This window comes from Homo sapiens, chromosome 2 (assembly GCF_000001405.40).
Source record: "Homo sapiens chromosome 2, GRCh38.p14 Primary Assembly".
Taxonomy (NCBI): domain Eukaryota; kingdom Metazoa; phylum Chordata; class Mammalia; order Primates; family Hominidae; genus Homo; species Homo sapiens.
The window spans coordinates 160,724-186,605 of NC_000002.12; the positions used below are offsets into that span (position 1 = coordinate 160,724).

Here is a 25,882-nt window from a genome sequence, read left to right on the forward strand (position 1 = left end):
CCCAGCTAGGCTTAGGGATTCTTAGTTGGCCTAGGAAATCCAGCTAGTCCTGTCTCTCAACAGGACACTGGGTTCCTAGCCTTGTAGTTGTGGCTTCTACGGCATGGAAGGGTCGTGACATGATTCACCAATTCACCACCCCATCTGAGTTTCAACACTTGGCCAGATCACGGCACTGAGCTTCTAACCTTGCAGTTGTAGCTTCTATGGCATGGCAGGGTTCTGGTGTAATTCACCAATTCACCACCCCATCTGAGCTTAAGCACTTGGCCATAGCCATGAGGCTTTGCAGGAGACCAGCCTGTGGAAATCAGTCTTGGACAAGGCAGCTCTTGCAGCTCAAACCTAAACACTTCCTAGGAAATGCTCAACAGCGTCCATCAACATGGAAGTTGATGTCCAGAAGAAAAAAGAAAACTTAAAAATTAAAGCAGATGATAAGTAAAGCAGATAAGTATTTTCCAATTAGATACAGACTTTGTGATCACTGTAGAAAATGGGAAATGCAATGGAATGACGAGTGAGTCTGGGGAAAGGAGTGATGTTACTCATGTTGTCATATGTAGAATAAGTGAGGACACTTCTTTGAGGAAGTTCAATTGAGGTAAGAGATGAATGATACAATGAAGGCAGTCATATAAAGAGCTGGGGAAGTGTTCAGGCAGAGTGGGTGTTTTGGAGGGGATACACCATGGCTATGTGTGGGGACCCTGTGGGGAAACAGTTGCATCGGGGCCGGGATGGTGGTTCCACTGGGGCTGTTGCGGTGCTCACAGGGAGGAGGGGTCACCCTCACGCAGTGCTTCAGGAGAGGAGTCAGCAGGCTTTCTGATGGGCTGGTAGGAAGTGTGCAGGAAAGAGGAGTTGGGCATAGGGTGTAGAGTTTTAGATCTGAGCGAGTAGGGATGCACAGCCCTGTGTGGAAATAAGGAGGGTGAAATGGGGGACAGGCTGAGGCAGGGATGAATGTCGGGGAGTCAAGAATTCTGTTTCAGACTTTTTTGCAGTGGGATTTTCTTCTTTTATTTGTTTATTTTTATTGCTTGGTCCACGTTGCTTCTTGGTGCATTTCCCTACTTATCGGACCCTCAGGAAATGCTGACAGTACGGCAGTTGAGGTAGAAGGAAAAAATTGTCATAACGAAATACCAAGAAAACAAATTAAAAATATTTTAGTGAAACAACATTTCAAAAAAGCATTACTTTCTGATAATTCTATAAGAAAAACAAGTTACTCTATATTGAGCAATCTCATTTTTTAGTTAAGGCACACATATAATTAATTTAATCAGCCGGCTGGCACGGTGGCTTATGTCTGTAATTGCAGGCACTTTGGGAGGCTAAGGCAGGAGGATCATTTGGACTCAGGAGTTCAAGGCCAGCCCGGGCAAGTTAGTGAGACCTGGTCTCTACTAAAAATTAAAAAAAAAAATTAGGTGATTGTGGTGGTGCTCGTCCGTAGTCCCAGCTACTTGAGAGATTGAGGTGAGAGGATCATTTGAGCCCAGGAGGTCAAGGCTGTAGTGAGCTGTGATCACACCAGCACTTCAGCCAAGGTGACAGACTGAGACCCTGCCTCTATTAAAAAAAACTAATTGGTTAAAATAAATCTGAATATATCAAATACTCACTAAATTAGGCAGAGGAGTATAAAAGTTGCAACATAATCTATCTTTAATTTACAAAAAACCTTTGTCTGGAATAAATGTAATTATGTTAACATAAAGCCATGCATTGACATTATGTTCTTCCTGTGGTTGCTTTTTGACAGAGTATTCTAGCTGCCTCCGCCTTTGAGACAGAGCAGGAAGAACCTGTGGATGGTGGGATTCCCTCTTCTTGGAGAAGGGGATGAGCATTTCCCGCTGCCCTCCTGACACGCCCGTGGCTGTCTGCCTTGCTCTGTACCTCCAGACTTCATGGAAAGCATGCTCGACCTTTGACTTCTGGGTGGGTGACTTGGGGCACACCCAAGCAGGAGACCAGCCTGCAGAGAGGGGGCCTATGTCACTCTGGCCACTCTGTGGTTGGGCTGGCTGTGGCCCACAGACCCTCTGCTCCCTCTGTGAGTCCCCTTGGGCCCCTTTCCTCTTTCCTAGGGTGTGAGTGTGGCACCCTTCATGACACTCTTCCTAATCACCCCATAGGGTGTGCCGCTTCCTTCCTGCGGGAACTCTAACTGGCCCTGTGTAATGATCTTTTACACAGAGCTCGTAAAACTAACCCCTGGCCCTGATGAGTCTTTGGAACATGAGGCTTACCGGTGATGAATAACTCCCAGCAATCACTGAAACATCACAAGCTTCTGTCTCTGCTTCCCGCTCCACACCGCCCTCTGCTCTGCTTAGTCTGGTTCATGTTTTGCATTCACATCATTGCTATTGTTGTTTTTTCTCCCGTTCCTCTGGACTCCTTTTTGTTGCCCAGCACTAACAATCATAAAACTTATGTTCTAAAATCATAAAACTGCAATGGAGAGCAAAGACAAAAAACAAATGGTTTTAAGTTAGAGTTGTAACACTACATAATTTACTACCTCGGGAGGATGGGATGAGAATTCTGGTCAAATGAAATTTCTCTGGTCTATAAATCTGCTATTTCCAATTGGTACTTTGGCTTTCCAAAATGTTTAACAAACAGGACTTTGGGGGCTACATGTTTTTCACAAACCTGTTTGGGATATATTAGTTATAGTTTTTGGCTACACAAGAAAGTAAGTCAAAATTTAATTTGTGCAAGAATAATAGACTTGTTTTTTTAATGATAAATGAAAAGAAAATTTGGAAGAGACTGTGTTTCCTCACAGATTCTGCCACCTTGGGACTCCTAACCCTACCAAAAAATCTAGATGGGATGAGGAATTGTTTTCCATATTTTCATGCATTTTAGAACAATTATTTTTTATTTTTAGTTTTAGCTCCACAAATATGACCAATGATATTGCATATTAAAGTAAAAATTTGAAAACAGCTATGCATCCACAGGTTAAATTTTTATTTCTGTGGTTTAAATCTGATTTCACCACATTTTCCCCCAATGAAATGGATGCTTGGTAATGCAGTTAAATATCTGACTTTTCAGGAGCATAAAATAGCAGCTCTTCTTCCTGGGGATGGGGCAGTGGCCACCCCAAGGTGTGGAGGGCTTTCCTGTGGAAGCATCACATGGACTCATCATCTGTGGCTCCAGTGGAGAAACCTGGAGTCAATGGATGTACGCTGGAGGGAGACCAACTTCAACTTCATACGAGGAAACATTTCTAATAATTAGGTTAGCGGAGGTACAAACTGCCTTGAAGGGCTGTGCTTTTTCTGCCTCTGAAATTTCTTCAGGAAAGCCTGAGCTGTATGCTGCAAATGAGAAGCTTAACTTGTTAACCTCAAGCAAGGATTAAATTAAGTTCCAGTGACATATCACTGATCTTCATATAGACCAATGGAACAGAGCAGAGGCCTCAGAAATAATGCCACACATCTGCAACTGTCTGATCTTTGACAAACCTGACAAAAACAAGCAACTGGGAAAGGACTCCCTATTTAATAAATGGTGCTGGGAAAACTGGCTAGCCATATGCAGAAAACTGAAACTGGAGCCCTTCCTTATACCTTATATAAAAATTAACTCAAGATGGGTTAAAGACTTAAATATAACATAAAACCATAAAAACCCTAGAAGAAAACCTAGACAATACCATTCAGGACATAGGCATGGCCAATGACTTCATGACTAAAACATGAAAAGCAATGGCAATGAAAGCCAAAATTGACAAATGGGATCTAATTAAACTAAAGAGCTTCTGCACAGCAAAAGAAACTATCATCAGAGTCAACAGGCAACCTACATGGGAGAAAATATTTGCAATCTATCTATTTGACAAAGGGCTAATATCTAGAATTTACAAGGAACTTAAACAAATTTACAAGAAAAAAACAACCCCATCAAAAAGTGGGCAAAGGATGTGAACAGCCACTTCTCAAAAGAAGACATTTATGCAGACAACAAACATATGTAAAAAAGCTCATCATCACTGGTCATTAGAGAAATGCAAATCAAAACCACAATGAGATACCATCTCGTGCCAGTTAGAATGGCAATCATTAAAAAGTCAGGAAACAACAGATGCTGGAGAGGATGTGGAGAAATAGGAACACTTTTACATTGTTGGTGGGAGTGTAGATTAGTTAAACCATTGTGGAAGTCAGTGTGGCGATTCCTCAAGGATCTAGAACCAGAAATACATTTGACCCAGCAATCCCATTACTGGGTATATACCTGAAGGATTATAAATCATTCTACTATAAAGACACATGCACACATATGTTTATTGCAGCACTATTCACAATAGCAAAGACTTGGAACCAACCCAAATGCCCATCAATGATAGACTGGATAAAGAAAAGATGGCACATATACACCATGGAATACTATGCAGTCATAAAAAAGGATGAGTTTATGTCCTTTGCAGGGACATGGAGGAAGCTAGAAACCATCATTCTCAGAAAACTAACACAGGAACAGAAAATCAAACATCACATGTTCTCACTCATAAGTGGGAGTTGAACAATGAGAACACGTGGAAACAGGGAGGGGAATATCACACACTGGGGCCTGTTGGGAGTTAGGGGTCTAGGGGAGGGATACCATTAGAAGAAATACCTAATGTAGATGACAGGTTGATGGGTGCAGCAAACTACCATGGCACGTGTATACCTGTGTAACAAACCTGCACGTTCTGCACATGTATCCCAGAACTTGAAGTATAATAATAAATAAAAGAAATATAAAAGTCACAGGATGCTTGTGATAGTATCTATTACACTGATGTTGACATCACATGGTTGACTATGTGGATACTCCAAGTGAAATTTCTTGCAGTTCTCAGTGCTAGGAAAATCTGTATTTCTGGATAAAAACTCAAAACTTTTAGAAAAACGTTCAGGTTTTATAGTCTAGAGGTCTAACACTGCAATCTTTTCCAACTTTAAGGTTTAATGATTTACTTAAATCTAAAAATAGTACATTGCAGATGTATTTAAACAGTGTGCCTAGGTAGTATGTTTATATATTAAGATTAAAATGCTCTTCTAAAATTTACTTATTCTAATATAGACTTTATTGTTTCATGTAGATATACCTTTCTGATTCCCAGGATAATTTAAACAATTAATTCAAAGCAACTATTAATTTAGTTCTAGATTGTGATATCTACTTATGCATTTTAAGCTTTAGATATGTATTTCAAATTAGAAACATGTGCTGGTCATGGAAAGTTGTGACTTAGAGCCTCAGGTAAGTTTTTTTTCATGTGAACACACTGCTTCCAATTGATATTATGCCCAGAGCAGACAATTAATAAATACCTTTTGAACTGAATGAGTGATTAACTGCAAATATCACAATACATCTTAGTGGGCATGATAATTAGCTATATCTAGTCTTTGCTGTGGCCTAAGAAAGAAATTTCTTCATTAAATGTTTAATGTCTCACCCTGTTCATACATCTGGAGTTACTGATTCAGTTTGATGTGAATTCAGTCTTATAAAAGACCCATCATTAAAACCTGCACTTATGCTTCCTATAGTATCGGAACTTCCAACTTGTAGGCAAAATAGATATGCTTCATATTCTTAAAAACCACAAGAAATCTCCCTTTATTCAGAATAAACATAGAATTAGGTATTCTATTAAACTGAACAATAGGACTCACTGGGAGTGACCGCATACACTATACCACGAATTGCCCAAGTGTCTGAAAAGGTCACTGGACCATTTCGCTCTATGCTGTGCCACGGGCCAACCACGAGGGCTGTCAGTGACTCACTGCGTGGGCCACCCAGAGCATGTGGTGCTGAGGCTGTCAAAGAGCAAGACGAGGCTGCATTTAAACTCAGGCCTCTGCTAAGTGTCAGAACTTGGGCAAGATGCCAAACACTTTCTTTAGAGCCAGTTTCCTTTCCTATGATTGGGTTATAACACTCACCCTGTCAGGTTCTCGTGTGCATTGACAAGGCTGGCACGTGACACACCAGGGGCAGACCTGGACGAGAACCTTCTTCCTTAGACATCAGGGTCCTCATGAGCATCAAGAAAATAAGGAGAGCAGGGCATCTCCAGCTGTGTCAGGACTACAGCAGGGACTCAGCAACAATCAGTGTCTTCTCTTGTTTCATCCAAATCATACATTTAAAAATTAGATGGGGTTATCATGGATGTTTATATTGATTCCTAGAATCAGACAAATACACCTTTCCTTGTCATGCTGTTTTCTCTTCCCAGATGGTTTGAAGAGCTTCTTTTTGGACTTGATACTCCTGGTGTGCACATAAGAAACAACAGCCAATGATTTGCACATTTCACAGCTGTGTAGCTCTTCATTCACAAAATCAGATACGCAAAAAAAGAAAAACCTTTTCTTTTTTTTTTTTTTTTTCTGATCAGTTCATTCTTGACCCTGAGCCATCGACCCTCAAGAATGGCAGGACATTCCACTCCACCATTGTTGGGGTGCCACAATTACACTACTGATCAAAGGCTCCTTGGTTTCTGAAAAGTGGGAGACACACCTCTAATAATCAGTCTAGATTGTCACTGCTCACTTCCCCATTTTCCAGTTCCGCAGGGGCCCCCAAAGCCCAGAAGGTCTCATTTCGGGGGTCTTATAGACCATGTGAATCTGGTAACACTGGGAACCCTGAGGCCAGCACCAACCTCATTTTCACTCTGTCTCTGTTTCCATCACCCTCTAGGCATTGCTACAGAGCAGTGTTGGGACCCACCGGAGATCTGACTGCTCCCAGCCTGGAAAACTGTCTTCTTTCCCTCCACTGATCTCATGATATTTCTGCTTTCCACCCCACAGAAATCCTTGAATGAAGCACAAAAGGGATTGGTCCTTGCCTGGTGTGAAGCACAGCTGAGCCAAAGGAGGAAGCAATATTGCAATGGACTCTGTCTTTGACATCACTACTTTGCAAATTTGTTACCACTATGGTCAAATTTTTATATTCACTCTTACATTTTAACTCATTCTGCTCATTATATTCAATGCAACATCTGCACTAAAAGATACTCAGGCATTAATTTATGCTTTTCTGTTTACAAATGAGAATTCATAAGCAAATTGAGGTAGCAATTAGATATTTTTTAAAATCGAAGACAAAACAGAAGACACATACACACACATCAGTGGAACACAACAGAGAGCCCAGAAACAGACTGAAATACAGCCGACTAATCTCTGACAAAGGAGCAAAAGCAATTCAATGGAGAAAGGAGAGTCTTTTTAACAAATGGTGCCGGAACAAGTGGGCATCCATATGCAAAAAAGAAAAAAAAAAAGAATCTAAAAACAGACCTTATACTTCTTACAAAAATTAATGCAAAGTAGATATTAGACCAATATATAAAATGTAAAATTTTCAAACTTCTAGAAGATAACATAAGGAAAAAATCTAGTTAACTTTGGATTTGGTGACTTTTTAAAGATACAACACCAAAAGCATGATCCACGAAGACAAAAATTGGTAAGCTGAATTTCATTAACATGAAAAACTTTTGTTTTGCAAAAGATACCATTAAGAGAATAAAAAGACAAATCCCAAACTGTGAGAAAATATTTGCAAAATATATCTAAGGATTCGTATCTGAAATATGCAAAGAACTGTTAAAACTCAACAAGAGGAAAACAAACAACCCAATTAAAAATGGGCAAAAGCTGAACAGATATGCAGATGGAAACTAACTATATGAAAAGATGCTCTGTATGTTATTAGGAACTGCCAATTAAGACAACAATAAGACACCACTACACACCTATTAGAATGGCCAAAATCCACAAGTCTGAAAACACCAAATGCTGGTGAGGATGTGAAGCAACAAGAACTCTCATTCATTGCTGTGGGAATGCAAAATGGCACAGCCACTTTGGAAGACAGTTTGGCAGTTTTTTACAAAGCTCACATAGTCTTATTATAAGATTTAGCAATTGTGCTCTTCATTATTTACCCAGTGGAGTTGAAGAGTTATGTCCACACACAAACTTGCACACAAATGTTTATAAAAGCTTTATTCAGGATTACCAGAAACTGGAGGTGATCAACATGTCCTTCAGTAGGTGAATGGAGAAATAAATTCTGATATCTACAGACAATGGAATATCATTCAGTGAGAAAAGACCTATCAAGTCATGAAAAGGCATACCGGGACCCAAAATGCACATTACTAACGAAAAAAGCCAAAAAGGCTACATACTGTATGATTCCAATTATGTGACATTTTGGAAAAGGGAAAATTACACAGATAGTAAAATGATCGGTGGTTGGTAGGGGTTGAGGAGAGGGAAGGATAGATGGTCAGAGAGTTCCGGATGTTTAGGGCAGTGAGACCATTGTGTGCGATTTCACCACAACGGTGGACCCACGACAGTGTGCAGATGCCAAACCCATTGAATGCAGACCACAAAAAGATAATAATTACATAAACTATGAACTTTCATAATGAAATAAATCATGTTTTAAAAAAGTAGACAGCTTTGTTCAGTTACTGTCTACTTTTTGAAATGGAGAGGGTGGGATGCTTACATGGTTGTGAGGATAAAAATAGCTTAGAGAATGTAATAACTAAAACAGGTGTGTAAACATTGTTAAACTCTTTTATCCTCATTAAAAAACATTGCTTAAATATATTTGTAATTTTTTACAACTGAGCGAGTAGTGCAAACACATTAACATAATTCTCCTCTAGCTCCGCTCAGAAGTCAGGCTTCAGTGCAGGACCACATGGCTCCAAGTGCACCTGCCAAATGCAACAACCTCTTTCAACGTCATTAAAATATTTCAATAGGAGGCTTGATTTTAGACTCAACCTGTGTTTTCTCCCCTGGAAAATGAAGGTTTTATGAAACAAAGAAGGTCTTTACCATTCTCATCCAAAATGCTGAGACATCTGTGATGTCTGCTGTAAGTGCCACCAGGCTCTCCTCTGAAATCTCACAACGGGAAAATAGAGACTGTCAATTCTGCTTTTAGAAAGGGGAGAATCAGATCTAATGTCGAAATGCCATGTCCTCATTCATACACATCTTCTTTTACAAATTCCACAGGTTTAGTTACTTTGGGATTAATATGGGCCTATTTTAAAGTGCATTTATTAATTTAGCATGAAATGTCCAAATGCATTCTGGATCCTGAGCTGACATCCAGCAATGCTGAGTGTGCGCCTGTGTGAGTCACCAGCCCTGATGAGCCTCAGGTTATTGTATTCATAAAATGAAGGGGCTTAGGCTTGCTCCGATTTTTTTAAAACCATTTTTAACAGTAAAAACTTGTTTCTTGTTACATAAAAATGTACAAGAAAAACCCAAACATTACAAATGATAAATTATAATTTTATTAATATAAATATTTTGTGAGCTCAATTTATAGGACTTAGTTATTATAAAAGAAATAAGCAACATGAGGTGGCCATACTTTCCTATTTTGTTCACATGCTATTGATAAATCTTGATGTACACAGAAAATTAGTTTCAAAGAATAATAATTTTAAAAATCTTGACTTGTAATTTCAAGGGACTTTAAAAAAATTCCTGCAATTTCTCTTTAAAGGTTCTAGAACAGTTTTCTATGTCTTAAAGCTAAATAATCACAAAGAACTAACTGTTCTCACATTCTGTATTATAAATATGTAAGTCAGAAAAGGAACAGACAAAAGAATAAAAACACATGCGTGAACAAATGGGCCTTGGTTTACATTGAATTGGATCTGGCAATGAACATGGGTTATAGTAGTATTTTTGTGTGTAATTTTACACGAGTGGACTGTTGACAAAATAAAAATTGTCTGCAATCACTATTTGGTGGTATATTTGCACAAATGGTAAACATATACATAGAGGTCGTGGGAGAAATTTATTTCATGGCTTACCAGAAGACAGGTTAAGTTGGGACATTTAATTGTTTCATTACTGCTACATTTTATAATGCACTTGTATGGGCAAGGTATTTAAATGTATTATAATAACTTTTAAATGCTCAATGTTACAGAGGAATTATTAGACAAAGTACTGATACCTTCTTTGTGTGTGCTTTGAAGGCACGAGGAAATAATAAAGCGGCCCTTTTCCCTTTTCCCATCTATTTCCTGAAGGCCAAGCTGTGCTTCTGCAGATTAGACCTCTGTAACACACACACACACGCACACGCGCACACACACACACACACACACACACATTATAGCCTTTAGGGGTTTAAAGGAGGGAGAGAATTTGCCTGGATAACTCTCACCTAGGTATTTTCTGGGGAGATCTAGAATCGTCTAAGGGGTTAAGCTGGACTAGCCAATGGGAAAACAAAATGAAGATACTGGGGAGATGTTCCCAGAAGAGGAGCATTCCTATTGGGCTAGGCCCTAGTCACATGCAATTCCCCAGATGTGGTTGGTGTGGCCAAGGTTCCAGTGTTTGACTGCTGCCTTCTTGGCACTTCTCGTGCTGTGAGGAGCATCCCCTCCCCAGTAGCAGGGGCAGTGGTCCTCTCACCCACTTCAGAGTAAAGGGCCAGCAATTGGCAGTCACAAGAAAAGTAGTGAGACAGGAAGGTGAGGAGCATGAAGTCCCACCATACCAGCCTCCAGTGTCTGGCACAGAATCTGACGAGGAACCTCCGTGAATTGGAATCTTCCACATCTTGATACATGGGAGTTTCTGTTAGATATAATTTGACTTATAAAAAGAAAGAAATATGGCCAGGTGCGGTGGCTCACACCTGTAATCCCAGCAATTTGGGAGGCCGAGGGGGACGGATCACGAGGTCAGGAGATCGAGACCATCCTGGCTAACACGGTGAAACCCCATCTCTACTAAAAATACAAAAAATTAGCCGGGTGTGGTGGCGGGCGCCTGTAGTCCCAGCTACTCGGGAGGCTGAGGCAGGAGAATGGTGTGAACCCGGGAAGCGGAGCTTGCAGTGAGCCGAGATCGCGCCACTGCACTCCAGCCTGGGCGACAGAGCGAGACGCCATCTCAAAAAAAAAAAAAAGAAAGAAAGAAAGAAATATGACCTTCTTGCATCTAAATATTGTAGAAGAATTAATGATCGCAACCTGGATGTTTTACATTCTGAGATGCTATTAAATCAATATTAATCATGAATGTATTGATAATTTTTTAGAAGAATAGAAGAGATCTCATCATATTAAATGAAGTATATCAATTATAAGACGCATGCTAACTCCAGAAAAAGCAAAACATGAAAAAAATGTGTCTTAGAATGGAAAAATGCAGTAGTTAAACTATTTTTAACTAGAATTTAAATGCAACATTTTAGGATATGAAGCCCTCAACTCATTTCGAAAACTACTGGCTCAGATGACCTCAGCGATAGGAAACCTCTAAAAGATCATGAGTCTAATCAGATAATTTTCTGTGCCTTTGCCTGAGAGTCTAGCTGAAAGTGGTGCCGTTTTTACAGAAAAGGAATAACGTGTCCTGAACTGGGAACCCTTCACCGGCCACCATTCCTGGAGGCGCTTCACTGTGGAGTTTTGGTCACCAGAGGGCTCCAGGGGACTACTGGGGAAGGCCAGGACATGGAAGAGGGCCTAGAGCCAGGGTTACCCGGGAGGGGGTGGACCCATTTTGCCAAGCACCTGAGGACCAGGCCATACAGAATCCTCTCAAAACCACCCGCACACTAGGTGGGAATAAAGGATAAGAGAAATTAATGTGTGCTTAGCATGTGAGAGCCGACATTCATAGTCAGGCTGAGCAAAGAAATTCATACAGAAGGATGAAGCGCACGTTATGAGACAAAGAACACCCAATTATAAGACAGAAAACCTCGGTTCTGGGAAATTCCTGAACTGTTTGCCCGTCCATGAAAGAGTAATAGTGATACCACCTTCTCCACTTTTTCTTGTAACAGAACTGCCCGTTTCTTTCATGCTCACAGCTAAGTGTTTAGTAGAAATAATTGACAAATATAAGGTCATTTCTCTTACACAAAAGGTTCAAGAAAACTGAGAAAGATTTAAAAATTCCCAAATGAATGATTTTTCAAGGCACAATATCTTAATTTACATAAAGAGAAATAATACATTTTGTCTTAAATAAAGATTTGCCCACATCCTAAGTGTGGCATTGTAGAGTAGTTAAGATATTTCTTCAAAAAAAAATTATATCAAAAAATCTGTACTTTTTGAGTGGGGATTATAACACACAAACCTGGTGCAATATATTTAAAACAAAGCAGAGATTAATTAATAATTAATGATTCCCCATCACCATTTTCAGAAAACCCAGTAACTTAGTGCCTTAAGATGTTCAAATCATCCCAAAAAGTTGAGTTATGAAATATTTTCAAAACCCTTTCTCAAGCTTTGCTATTCTAGCTTTAGCTGGAAGAAGAAGCTTCCAAGTTAAAGATGGTAGATGAAATACTGACCCAGTTGTTTCCTTTCCCTCCCAAGAAACCATGATGGTTATCCATCATGGAGAGAGAACAGCAAAGACAAAAATTGATTTGGTGGCCTCGCATCCGCGAGAAGGAGCATCATCTGTGCACCTTCCTGGGGGTGAGGGGCGGAGAAGTGAGGCAGGCGTCAGAAAACAGGAGGGTCGATTAAAATCTGTACATTGACAGTCAACCCTCATTATCCTCCCTCACCGATGCCTGCACCCCACCCCTCGGGTAACCAGTGAGTAGAACACCAACAACCAACAAGCAAGCAGCTGCCTTCCAGAGAGGAGAGGAGAAGGTTTTCTCCAGAGAAAGGAAACCATTGAGACCAAACGCATCACTTACTAACATGTGGAAACCCCATCGACTCCCTGAAGCAAAACCTCTAGATGAGCCTTTCACTAATGATAACACAGACTCATTCTCCTTCTTCACATGTCACTATTAAATGTGAACAGTGAAGAATCACCTCGAGATGAGCCTTTCACTAATGATAACACAGACTCATTCTCCTTCTTCATGTGTCACTATTAAAGGTGAACAATGAAGAATCACCTCTAGATGAGCCTTTCAGTAATGATAACACAGACTCATTCTCCTTCTTCATGTGTCACTATTAAAGGTGAACAGTGAAGAATCACCTCTAGATGAGCCTTTCACTAATGATAACACAGACTCATTCTCCTTCTTCATGTGTCACTATTAAATGTGAACAGTGAAGAATCACCTCTAGACGAGCCTTTCACTAATGATAACACAGACTCATTCTCCTTCTTCATGTGTCACTATTAAATGTGAACAGTGAAGAATCACCTCTAGATGAGCCTTTCACTAATGATAACACAGACTCATTCTCCTTCTTCATGTGTCACTATTAAATGTGAACAGTGAAGAATCACCTCTAGATGAGCCTTTCACTAATGATAACACAGACTCATTCTCCTTCTTCATGTGTCACTATTAAATGTGAACAATGAAGAATCACCAGACATTTCAGGGAAACCAATCCCAATGGGAAAAAAGACCAAGGTAAACTGGGAGGCAGAATGATTGTTGAGAACCTAACATTGTAGCAAAATAAGAAATAAGAGTTTTATATCATCATTCACTTAGTGGTAGTGTCTGGGGTTTCACTATACAAATATATCACTTTGATATATATATATATATATATATATATATATATATACATATACACACACACACACACACACACAGACACACACACACACACACACACACACATATATATATATATATTTTTTTTTTTTTTGGCGGAGTCTCAATCTGTTACCCAGGCTGGAGTACAGTGGTGTGATCTTGGCTCACTGCAACCTCTGTCTCTTGGGTTCAAGTGATTCTCCTGCCAACTTTTGTATTTTAAGTAAAGACGGGGTTTCACCATGTTGGCCAGGCGTGTCTTGAAATCCTGACCTCAGGTGATCTGCCTGCCTTGATCTCCCAAAGTGCTGGGATTGTAGGCATGAGCCACCATGCCTGACCTGACATAGTTTTAACTATTAGAAGAAACCACAGGAAGCTACCATTTGAATAGATCAAACATTAGCAATATATTAAAATATCAGCAATTTCATATGCTCAAGATTATTTTTTAAAAAATAAAAAGAGAAGAGAATTGATTCAATTTCTAGGCCAGCAACCAAAGAAAAAGCAAGAAATGGAAGATTTTACAATTATATAGTAATAGCAAGATCTTACATTTCTATTGAGTTTTAAAGATTACAAAACACATCAATATACATTGCCTTGTTTGATCTTTAAACAACTCTATAATTGTAATTAATATATCTAAAAATTGTAACTCTTGAGAAATCCAGGACGAAACAAATGAAGCCTAAACACAGCTTTAATTTGCCAAGTAATGGGTGGAGAAGGGATCAGAAGCTGGGCTGACTGACCCCACGTCCTCTTCTTCCATTACTTAAAAGAAGTCAGCCAGCACAAAACCTTGGGAAGGACCTGAGATAAAGGCAGTGGGAAAAGAGCAGAGTCAAGGATGATCTATAAACAGAGGTAAAAGAAGGAATGCCTTAAATACAAAAACATATGTCCACAGAGCTGGGAGTTGTACAAAGCCATGTAATTAGAGAACATCATGTTGACAGCAGACTCTTGACCTGGGGGAAAAACGTTCACGACACTGACTCCAAGAAGGATAAACTTGAAGGATTCCAGATGTGAGGCAGTCAAAGCCTCACTTGGAAGCACTGTACAAATGTTCATGTCAAGAACTGAAATGAATTTATACCCACATAAAACTACATGTAGGGGAAGGCTTACTTTGTAAGATGTTTCCGGACACTACATTAGCAGCTGTACCGCACACACTTACACAACACAAACACAGGCAAGCTTGTCACCTGCACAGCTGGAGGGTTAGCCTGGACAGGGCGATTACAGTCTCTCCTGAACCTCTTCCTTCTCGTCCGTGACTGAATCCTATTCACATGCTATAAGGACCATGGGCTTGTGGAATCCAACTTAGCTTCCTTTAGAACCAAAGGATGCCTCTGTGACACATGCAGAAATGACTTCCTTTTATTTTTCATTCAGTCCGTAGGAAGAGAACAGCTGCAAGAGAGAGAAAGAAAATGTACACGGTGGCTAGGTGGAGACGGCACCTGAAGAGTGAGTTTCATGTTTAGCCCCAACAGTTTATAAACATTCATGTGGTGATTAAAGATATTCCCCAAAACCAGAAAACACAACTGAGTCAGCTTCTGTTAGTGAGCATCACGCTGCAACCCAGGGGCCAGATGTCCTTGGAAAAGATCAGAGACATAACACAAATGAGTCAGCTTCTGTTAGTGAGCATTGCGCTGCAACCCAGAGGCCAGATGTCCTTGGAAAAGATCAGAGACATAAAACATCGCCGCCTCTGTTTATGCAACTTACTGAAGTTTACATGGAACCCCCGTGCCCTCCCTGCGTTTAACCTTCTATGCAAATGACAGAGACTGTCACTAGAGAAGGAGCAGTAGATTCTCATCCAGTTCCACAAGTCAACACGAGCATTGTCTCACTCCCCATGTTGACAGCTGCAGAGGATTTTCCATTCCCTGCCCCTACTGCTTCCAAAAACATCGGTTTTACATTGCCATAGCTAATGTTAACACCTCCTAGAATAAAGGGGGAATCACCACCGAGTGTCAGTTCTGGTTCAGACTGTGGAGTGAGGGTGTTATTCTTCTTGCATAAAATGTAGTGACTCCACATTGCACCAGTGGCTTGGTAAAAAAGACAAAATTTCTAGGGAATTAGTATCGATTATTTTTAACTATCATAACCTTGGCTTTATTGACACTTTGTATTAAACAGATCTCACTTGCCAAACGCCACAGGATGCAAGCCAACAGACGGGCCCAGAGAGCTCTCGTGAGCCGGAACTGTCACATAAGAAGCAAAACCACGAGAGAGAGAACACCACCCACATCCAACACAGCATAGCCACCCTGAAAGCCTCAGCATGTAAACTTTCGTGGCACCACCCTTTCTTTTAGAAATGTGTTTAGATTTTATAGACTTTTGCTAGACTTTGTTATGTAAGCTTTATGTACTGAAAGGTCTTAATTAAAGATTTTTAAATGTTGAGTAAAATGTTCACCAGTATAGTTTGTAATATATATATAACAAACCTGTCATATAATTTATTTTCTTTAAAAACAAGGCCCTTATACAAATTGCCCATGGAACTTTTATTTAGAATTTAAGGTCATTTGGGGCTTAGTGTCATATAAACAAAATTCTCCCAATTGCTAGGGTCCTCTTGGGGTGCTGCATTCCTGCGAACCATGATCATGCCAGGCTTTGTCAGTGATTGGAAAAACAGATCCTTCTCTGTCTGGGAGCTCAAATGCCTAGGGTGATGCCAGATCAAGTTTTCATTACTGAGTCATACATTCCTAAATTCAGTGTATCTCAGAAAAACAGACATACCTTTAACTCACAACAGTTTAACCTGACAAAGGTCTCAAATACTTCTATTGCAATAAAAATTGTGAAAAGGCTATCTTGCTAGAGATCTCTGACTCAGAGAAGAAAGTGAAGGTTGGGCATGGTAGCTCATGTCTGTAATCCCAGCACTTTGGGAGGTTGAGGCAGGTGGATCACTTGATGTCAGGAGTTTGAGAGCAGCTTGGGAAACACAGTGAAACCATCTCTGCTAAAAATACAAAAATTAGCTTGGCGTAGTGGTGCTTGCCTGCAGTACCAGCTGCTTGGGAGGCTCAGGCAGAATTGCTTGAACCTGGAAGGTGGAGGTTGCAGTGAGCCAAGATTGAGCCACCACATTCCAGCCTGGGTGACAGAATGAGACTCTGTCTCAAAAAAATAAAAAAATAAAAAATAGGCCAAATAAATAAGAGAGAGAGAAAAGAAAGTGAAGAATCTCAGTGACTGCAGCATTTTGGAACAGAATTTCTTTCAGGGAGGAATAGGGCACTGAGTATAAAAAGCAGCAGTGGAAAGAATTGCACAAACCCCTTTTCCATGCACTAGGTCTCTGGGTATAACTTTTATGAAGTTTAATTTCCTTCTAGTTGAATAAAGGTAGCAATGTGTTGCCTTTTACGTTGTGTATGAAGAGCCTAGAATGATGATCGACACCAAAAAGGAGTCAGTAATTTGATCCATTCACTCTTGGGTGCTGAGCTCCTCAGGGCATAGGCAGGAGGCACAGCTGGAAAGCCACCTGTGGGTGCACAGGTGCTGCTGGAGAGCAGAGTGAAGGAGGAAATAGGACAGGTGCTAAGGAACATGCAGGTGGAGCTGGAACACAGAGTGCAAGAGGGAATAGGCCAGGTGCTAAGGAACATGCAGGTGGAGCTGGAGAGCAGAGTGCAGAAGGGAGTAGGTCAGGGGCTAAGGAGAACACAGGGGCAGCTAGAGAGCAGAGTGCAGGAGGGAATAGGACAGGTGCTCATGAAAACACAGGGGAACCTGGGGTTCAGAGTAAAGGAGGGAATAGGACAGGTGCTAAGCATAATGCAGGTGCAGCTAGAAAGTAGAGTGCATGAGGAAACTAGAAGAGATGCTAGAGGAACACACTGAGATAGGTCCTGAGGGCTCCACTGAACCATACTTATCACTGCGTTTCAGAGTTCTTTCTTCTCATGCATCTATTTAAAAGGTGATCATTTGTGCACACTTTCTATCCTGCAGTGTAGCCATTTTAAGTATTCCTAACTAAATTGAGAGCAATTTAAGAACAGATGTCTTCTTGCACACACATGTTTATAGCAGCAAAATTCACAATTACAAAAATATGGAACCAGACTAAATGCCCATCAACCAACGAGTGAATAAATAAAATATTATATATATTATATATATATATGTATACACACACACACACACACACACACACACACACACACCATGGAATACTACTCAGCCATAAAAAGTAAAAAAATAATGGCATTTGCAGCAACCTGGATGGAGTTGCAGACCATTATTCTAGTGAAGTAACTCAGAAATGGAAAAGCAAATACTATATGTTCTCACTTATAGGTGGGACCTAAGCTATGAGGATTCGAAGGCATAAGAATGATAAAATGGACTTTGGAGACTTAGGGGGAAAGGTGAGAGGGGGTGAGGGATAAGAGACTACACATTGGGTACAGTGTACACTGTTTGGGTGATGGGTGCACCAAAATCTCAGAAACCATCACTAAAGAACCTACGCAAGTAACCAAAACCACCTGTTCCCCAGAACTATTGAAATAAAATAAAATAAAAATAACAGATATCTTATTCCTTTGGTAGTCCCCAGGGCCTAGCTCAAGAATTTACTAAATGCTTGTAAAATATAAGAATAAATGGAACAACTGGGTAAGCACAGCTCATGCAGAGACATCCAGCCGTTTCAGAAGTGTTAAGGTTCAGAGCAGTGGGCCCTGCGTAGGTCCTGGGTCATGGCATTTCCAGGAGGCACAGCCGTTTCAGAAGTGTTAAGGTTCAGAGCAGTGGGCCCTGCGTAGGTCCTGGGGTATGGCATTTCCGGGGAGGCACAGCCATTTCAGAAGTGTTAAGGTTCAGAGCAGTGGGCCTTGGGTAGGTCCTGGGTCATGGCATTTCCAGGAGGTACAGCCATTTAAGAAGTGTTAAGATTCAGAGCAGTGGGCCCTGCGTAGGTCCTGGGTCATGGCATTTCCGGGGAGGCACAGCCATTTCAGAAGCATTAAGGTTCAGAGCAGTGGGCCCTGCGTAGGTCCTGGGTCATGGCATTTCCAGGAGGCACAGCCATTTCAGAAGCGTTAAGGTTCAGAGCAGTGGGCCCTGCGTAGGTCCTGGGTCATGGCATTTCCAGGAGGCACAGCCATTTCAGAAGCGTTAAGATTCAGAGCAGTGGGCCCTGCGTAGGTCCTGGGTCATGGCATTTCCGGAAGGCACAGCCATCTCAAGCCTCCTTATTTATGGTGCGTGCTCTAAACCTCACACAGCACAGGCTTTTCTTTAAAAACATCAAGGTGAAATAAACCACATATTAATCTAGGTGGGCAATTAGAGAACCCACACAATTTAGTTGTATAATAGTAAACTTCTGCTGCATATTTAAAGGAAAATAGATAATATACTTTTTTTAAAAAAAGTGCAAATTATTCCACTATTTCTGAATACTCACTGCTTCCCATTGGAGAAGATGTAACCTAAATTACCACCCCATCTTGAGAAACAATTGTTCTCCTTTTATTTCCTTTTTATTTTCCCTTTTTTCTATTCTGGGCTTTTAATAATGCTTAGTCATATGATTTACTTAGATAACTTCAGGAACCAGCCTTAAAAAACTAAGCATAGAATCAAGGTTGCAGATTACCCCACCCTGGGAAGAATTCTGAGCAGTGAGTCTGCATTCCTGTTGCAGTCAAGCTGATGCCAGGGAGACCATCAGGTGACCATTGCTCAAGACAGTCATTGAGACCACACACACTGACCCACACATGGTCAAGCCCTGCACATAATTTCTCTACATCCTCCCCCCACAAAAACCTTCCAGCCAGCCTGAGAAACTTGAGATGTTCTTTGCAACACTGGTCTGCCATCTTCTCAGATTGTCAGATTTTGGGTAAACCCACTTTTGTTCCCACCAACTCTTGTCTCTTGAGTTTGGTTTTCAAGCAGCAAGCAGCCAAACCTGGGTTCAATTACAATTTGTGGCACCCAGCATGGTGCTGTGCACCTCAGGTGATCTAGCCTGCCTAGTTTTCAGTGGGTGGAGAAGTTGTCCTAAGCAGCATGTCAGAACTTACCCATTCACGCTACTGGGCAGAGCAACAACTTGCTCAAGAGTGCCAGCTGATCATGGCTATCTGACCCTGTGGCTGGGGCCAGGATTCCAGGAACGTCCCAGCAGCTACCAACAACTCTTTTTCTTGGAGATTTTCCCTTTTCACCCCTACGAGGCATCAGCTGCCTGCAACTCTCAGCTGGTGCAAGAAAAAGTGGTATCTGAGGAGTTGATGGCTTCAAGACTGGGTAAGTCAAGCAAATGTGCACAGTGGGATTCTCTCTCTCTGACATTTGGGCTTTAGTGCCATTTGGACCTAGCACAGGTCGTTTGTGGTACCAGATTGTGTGAGATAATATTCTAAAAACAAATACCTAATGTTAAATGACGAGTTACTGGGTGCAGCACACCAATATGGCACATGTATACATAGGTAACTAACTGGCACATTGTGCACATGTACCCTAAAACTTAAAGTATAATAATAAAAAAAAATCTCTCCTGTCTCCCTTTTTGAGTATTAGTTTGGGAGTCCTCCATTTGTGTCAGTTTCCATTTGTTTGTTATTTAATGGTTTAAAAACACGGGCAAATTCAAAGGCATGCCAGGTTTTTTCTTTTTGCACATGTTTTAAAACGAAAGGACAAATTACAGTAAGAAAAATTTAGAACTGAAATGATTAACCTGCAACTTTAGAGTTAAATAGAGTCCTCTGAAGCTCTCTATGTCTATTTCTTCATTTTCTTTTCTGCCTGCTTTGAATATGCTATATAGTTATTAAGCTACTGGTGTTGAGATAAAGCTCACTACAGTACTACTAATTCAAGGTTATTTGGATTTTTTAAATACATTTATCCAGTTCAAGCTAAAATGTAAACATTAAAAGCTCATTTAAAACAGAAAGAAGAGTTAAAAAGATTTTAAAAAATTGAACTGCCATGAAAACTGCTTTACCCAAAATTGTGGTCCATAGCTTTTATTGGATTTACCCACTGGGGCAAACAAAATGTAGCCATTTGGACAGGTCCCAATTTTGTCAAAAATAATTTGGGTTCATATATCTTTTATATGTTCATGAGTTTGTGATGCTATCTAATGGCTAGAGTTTCAAGGTAAAAGCTATTGGATCTTTGCTAGTGTGTGTATACATGTTTAATGTGTTGATGTATATGTATGTGTATTATGTTGTGTGTTGTGTCTAGCATGCTACCAAATTAGATTATAAATAAATGCTCATAAATCAAATGAATAAGTTCAAATGCTTTTCAAGTTCATAAGACTTAAGAAAATCTTTAATAAATAAAATGCTTTTTAAATTATTGGTACAGTAAAAATAGAACTGTATTTAGAATTGTCAGCATATGTTTTTGCCTGGGTTTAATGGTTATTTTGTATTTGCCTCTGCTGGACATTTTAGGGTGTCAATGTTTGGCATGTGAGTTATAGGACTGGAAACCCAGCCAAAAACAGAATAATCTTTGTTTCTGTGATTGTTTTTTGACAAATGAGATTGATTTAAAATTGTTGGCTCAATAAAAACAGCTGAATCTTCTGAGTTATCAGCAAAATACCTATCTCCTTTAACTTTAGAATTCTTACTTTGGTAAAAACTTGATGTTCACAGGTTTTAAAAATGGCTAACAGAAATAACTTTAAATAATGACTAGATTTTTTTCTGATATCTTAATTTTCAGAAGTAATCTAGATAGGCTGTTAAAAATGAAAGAATTGAGTACACATAAATGAGATAAATGCTTGTAGGTAAACTTTTTGCATAACTTAAAATCTTAAAATTATTTTCAATTAAATAATGGATGCTCATTGGATGTCTGGATCATGTTCAGTTAAGAAAGGGTTACAATATAGAGACATAATTTCTAAAAATTGTAGAGTGGTTTCATCTATAAAATCCTAACATCTTATAGACAGTTCAGGATTTCTTGCTTCCTGGTTTGAACTAAAATTTAAAGTTACTAAAATAAGAAGTATAGTTAATATATAATTATGCAAGTTGTGTTCTTATTACAAATAATAATTTTATGCAATTTGGAGGTTAAGAATTATTTATAAAAAAGATAAAAAGAAATCAGTAGGTAGAAGAGACAGTTGTGAAAAAATTATAGATATGAAGATATATTTTTGGTAAGGAAGGTTATTAAAAAGAGAATAATTTTGTGTGAAAAAGAATCTTATATGGCAAATTTTTGTTCTGAAGTAAAATCACTGATTATTTTTAAAAGAGGGACATATAGAACACATCAAGAAGTCCAAGCATGTTGTCAATGGTCTCCATAAGTCATAATGAGGTTTGTAAAAGAAAATTTACAAAACAAATTTTATATGTAATTAAGTTGGCTACAACAAAAAGAAAATTATTTATAGTAGTCTTTCTAAGATTGGTCCCCTACTGTTAAAACATAGTTTTCTTAAGTTATTAACTTACTCTTAATAAAATTACAAGAGGTTTTGATTTTAATTATATAACCTGTTTCCTTTTGAAAACTTCTCAGATTCATATCTCAGATTCATATCTCAACTGTTATTGTGTCTTGCTGCTTTCAGTTTTTTCTCCCTTTGAGAAGCCCTAACATGATAACTCTTTCCTAAAACTTTTTCATTAGCACCAGTAACTTTTCCTCCAGTTCTGACTGTTGTTGTGGCCTAATGTTGAAATACTTTATCTTAAATGTCTAAGAAAGTGATGTTTTACTGCAGTATAACTTGCTTTTGTACTTTTGGCTTTTCTTGATATGTCTGAATTGTTCCATGTAACCAGAAAACTCCTCCTACAGTTACTAAGAGTCATGTATTTCTCTGCTATACTCATAACTTTGAACACTCTCTTCCTGTGTTTTATTAAATTCAAGTACTCTTTTTATCACATTTGACTTCCAGGTTATCTAAATGGGCTTCCCATAAAGAGAAGCAATCACACTGCAGGTTTTTCTTTGCCTTTTTGGTAACTGGCCTAAATGATAAAGATTTTACATTTTATCAAAATAATTTCTATATTATATTTGAAAGTTTTTTTATTGCTTAAGAAAATTGAGATTTAAAAGGATTAAAGTTTTTACATCCATGAAACTTTCTGTCTTGTTTTTAAAATATTTTGATTATCACTCTTGGCTAAAAGAATAACTATTATTCTGTTTTGACAAAATGTTTTGAGCCTTTTAACATCTGTGATAAATGTCCTCAAAATAAAAATTCTAAACTAATTATTTGACCTAGACTTATTACTTGGGACTTACCAAAGCTACAAAAATTAATCACCACAACATTGTAGAATCTTTTTACACCTTCCAGTCAGGTCATGGACTCCAGTATCATTACCTCCAGCCCCTTGAAAGGGTCCCTACCAGGTGCTATTGACTAATCCTTGTCCTGTTAAGTAACAGGGTTTTGATTCCTGGGCATAACTATCTCATCTAAAAAGGTACCAACTATTGCTAAATCTTAAATGTTGACACCAGTGTCTGACACCAGACTCATTAACCAAAGCTTTTTCTCCAGACCTGGGAAAAGTATACTGCTTTTATGAGATGCAGAGAGTGGCCTGTTTTCAAAGATATTAAGACTCATTTAATAATTTTGCCTCTATCTGAATGCTTGATACTAGATAGTTTAAATGTTTAGCTACCTATGAGCTTTCTTCTGTCTTTTTCAAAACTAGAGCTTATGACCTTTTTTATTTGAAATGTTGCCATTCTTTATGTTTTGTTTTTCCAGAGGCATGAAAACTTATTGTTTTCTTTTTGAGCTATTTGAGAGTTTTTTTTTTTTATTCTCATCTGGGCTAGAATGTTTCATTGGCTATAAGTCTTTTGACTCTAAGTCCCTTGGCCAAAGGGGTCCCACTGAGGGACTTGATGGACCTGGGGCAGGTAGCATATCACCCTCATATCAACATGGGACAAAATAAAAGTTTGGCTATCTATACTACCTCTGGCATATCTTAACAGAAAAGGGGAAATGCAAACTAAAAAACAAAATGCTAAGCGCCCCCTCACTGAGTGAATAAACCCCCTCTTGGCCAAGAGAACTCCAGAGAAGGAATCTTAAAAACTTAGTTCCCAGCCATGATGAGACAAAAGGTCAGACATGTCTCATTATATCCTCTTCCTTTTATGGTTTAGACACAACTGAACAACATTAATGTTAAAATTAGATCATAAGACTGACAGAAACAACTCTTTGTGGTAATAAGATACCAAATTGTAAATGGGACTTATGGCCATTCCAGGCAAGGATTAAGTCACTGATTCAGTTTGGCTATGTCTGCACTCAAATCTTATCTTCTATTATAGTTCCCACAATCCCCACATGTTGTGGGAGGGACCTGCTGGAGGTGTAATTGCATGATGGGGGTGGTTTCTTCCATGCTGTTCTTGTGATAGAGAGTTCTCATGAGATCTGATGGTTTTATAAGGGACTTTCCCTGCTTTGCTCAGCACTTATCCTTCCTGCCACCATATGAAGAAGGATGTGTTGCTTCTCCTTCTGCCATGATTGTATGTTTCCTGAGGCATCCCCAGCTATGCTAAACTGTGAGTCAATTAAACCTTTTTCTTTTATAAATTACTCAGTCTCAAGTATGTCTTTATTAGCAGCATGAGAATGGACTAATACAGTCACCCTAAACTGCCACTATATATTTCTTTTTCTTCAGCAGCTAAACAAGAACCTGTCTTGAGATAAGCAGTATTAAAACAATTTGCAGCTCCACCAGATGCTAATTTACTGATTTCCAGACCCTGTTCTACCAGCTGTAACTAAAACTTTGATTGGACAAGAGCTGATTTTAGTAACTTTCCCCTGATAATAGACCACTGACCATAGACTGGTTCTGGTCAGTTTACAGATTGTGTACTTGCATGCCTCTTTGTCCTGAAAATCCCTTTTAGCACATACAGCCTAATTATAGTACATTGAAATGTGAAGTCTCCATGCCAAAAGTGAACATGAGTCATATGTTACCTGACTTGTTCAATACATGAGTCAGGACCACCTTCATGAATATTCATAGCTCCTCCTATAACTCGTTAAAAACATATGTTTAGCCAACCTGTCATCATGTATCACAGGAGCCCCATTACAACTGACAGTGGGTAATTAACTTATTGCCTTTCTTATTGATATAGGAGCCATATAGTTTATAGTTAATATTCATCTAGCCCCTGATTTTAAAAAGACTGTGAAGGTTGCAGGAATGTTCAGGAAAGCTTTGACTTGCCTCTTCCTGCAGCCTTTAAATTGGCATCTTGGAGACTACAATTGACAGAAAGAAACTAAAAGATAAACCATACTAAAAAAAAAAGCATTACCAAAATCTGTCAAGAAGCCAATTTGACTTGAGATAAGGTGTTGCTGGTCGCCCTGTTATAGATTAAAATAGATCCTCAAAATAGGAAGAAATTGGGTCCCTTTAAAATGTTATATGGTAGGCCATTCCACGTTTCTGCACTGTTGGGAAAACCAACTGATAACTTTAAGAAATTCACCAATTGCCAAATATGTTAAGACTGTAGGCACTATACTAGTTTCTGTTCATGAGTCTGCTTCTAAAAAGACCACTCATCCTAAGATGTGTCCCTACATCCTTTGCAATTGGGAATTCAGGTCCTCCTAAAGACTAAAAAAAAAAGTCAGCTCAGAGCCAGGTCAAATGGTTTCATTCCCAAGTTCCCAATCAACAGCCCCATCCAGCAGGAAGTAGCCAGATTGTAATTGACAACCAATTTTCCATAGAAATTGAATTAAAAATCAACAGTAGGGAATTTGTAGCAGAAACTGCCACTCTGTCTTGAAAAATTATTCTCTTTTTTCTTTTTTTCACCCTTCTTTCCATGCTGGGCTTTTGATAATGCTTAACTCATGTGCTTCGCCTAAAGAACTCCAGGAACTGTCCTTGAAAAACTAAGCATGGAATCAAGGTTGCAGAACATCCCGTCCTGGGAAGAATTCTAAGCAGTTAATCTGTATTCCTGTTGGAATCAGGCTGACGCCCACCAGACCACCAGATGGCCATCACTCAAGACAGTCACTGAGACCAAACATATTGACATACATAGTCAACCCCTGTGTTTAGCTTCTCCATATCCCCCTCCCATAAAAACCCTCCAGCCAGCCTGAAAAACTCAAGATGGTCTCTGCAACACTAGTTCACAATGTTCTCAGGTTGCC

General features: G+C 39.4%; 1 long non-coding RNA gene across 3 annotated transcripts in view, besides 1 other annotated feature; it reads right to left on the reverse strand.

Moving 5' to 3' along the window:
- LOC105373324 (uncharacterized) overlaps positions 1-25,882 on the reverse strand; it is a 29,821-nt gene continuing 3,939 nt past the window's right edge. The window contains exons 1-4 of one of the 3 annotated variants that reach the window (XR_001739241.2): positions 14,835-15,191; positions 5,982-6,312; positions 2,262-2,466; positions 1,562-1,987 (exon numbers count right to left, since the gene is read on the reverse strand). This is a non-coding gene — a long non-coding RNA (uncharacterized LOC105373324). Of the gene's footprint in view, positions 2,467-5,981; positions 6,313-14,834; positions 15,192-25,882 lie in introns of those variants that run through there. The other 2 variants (XR_922689.3, XR_922688.3) reach the window with 2 other exon arrangements.
- Positions 1,326-2,525: an enhancer, noted in NCBI's record as "CDK7 strongly-dependent group 2 enhancer chr2:162049-163248 (GRCh37/hg19 assembly coordinates)". NCBI's record gives its function as "activates an origin of replication core promoter dependent on BRD2, BRD4, P300/CBP, MED14 and CDK7 cofactors, with strong dependence on CDK7, by STARR-seq in HCT116 cells {active_cell/tissue: HCT116}" and the evidence as "EXISTENCE:reporter gene assay evidence [ECO:0000049][PMID:35650434]".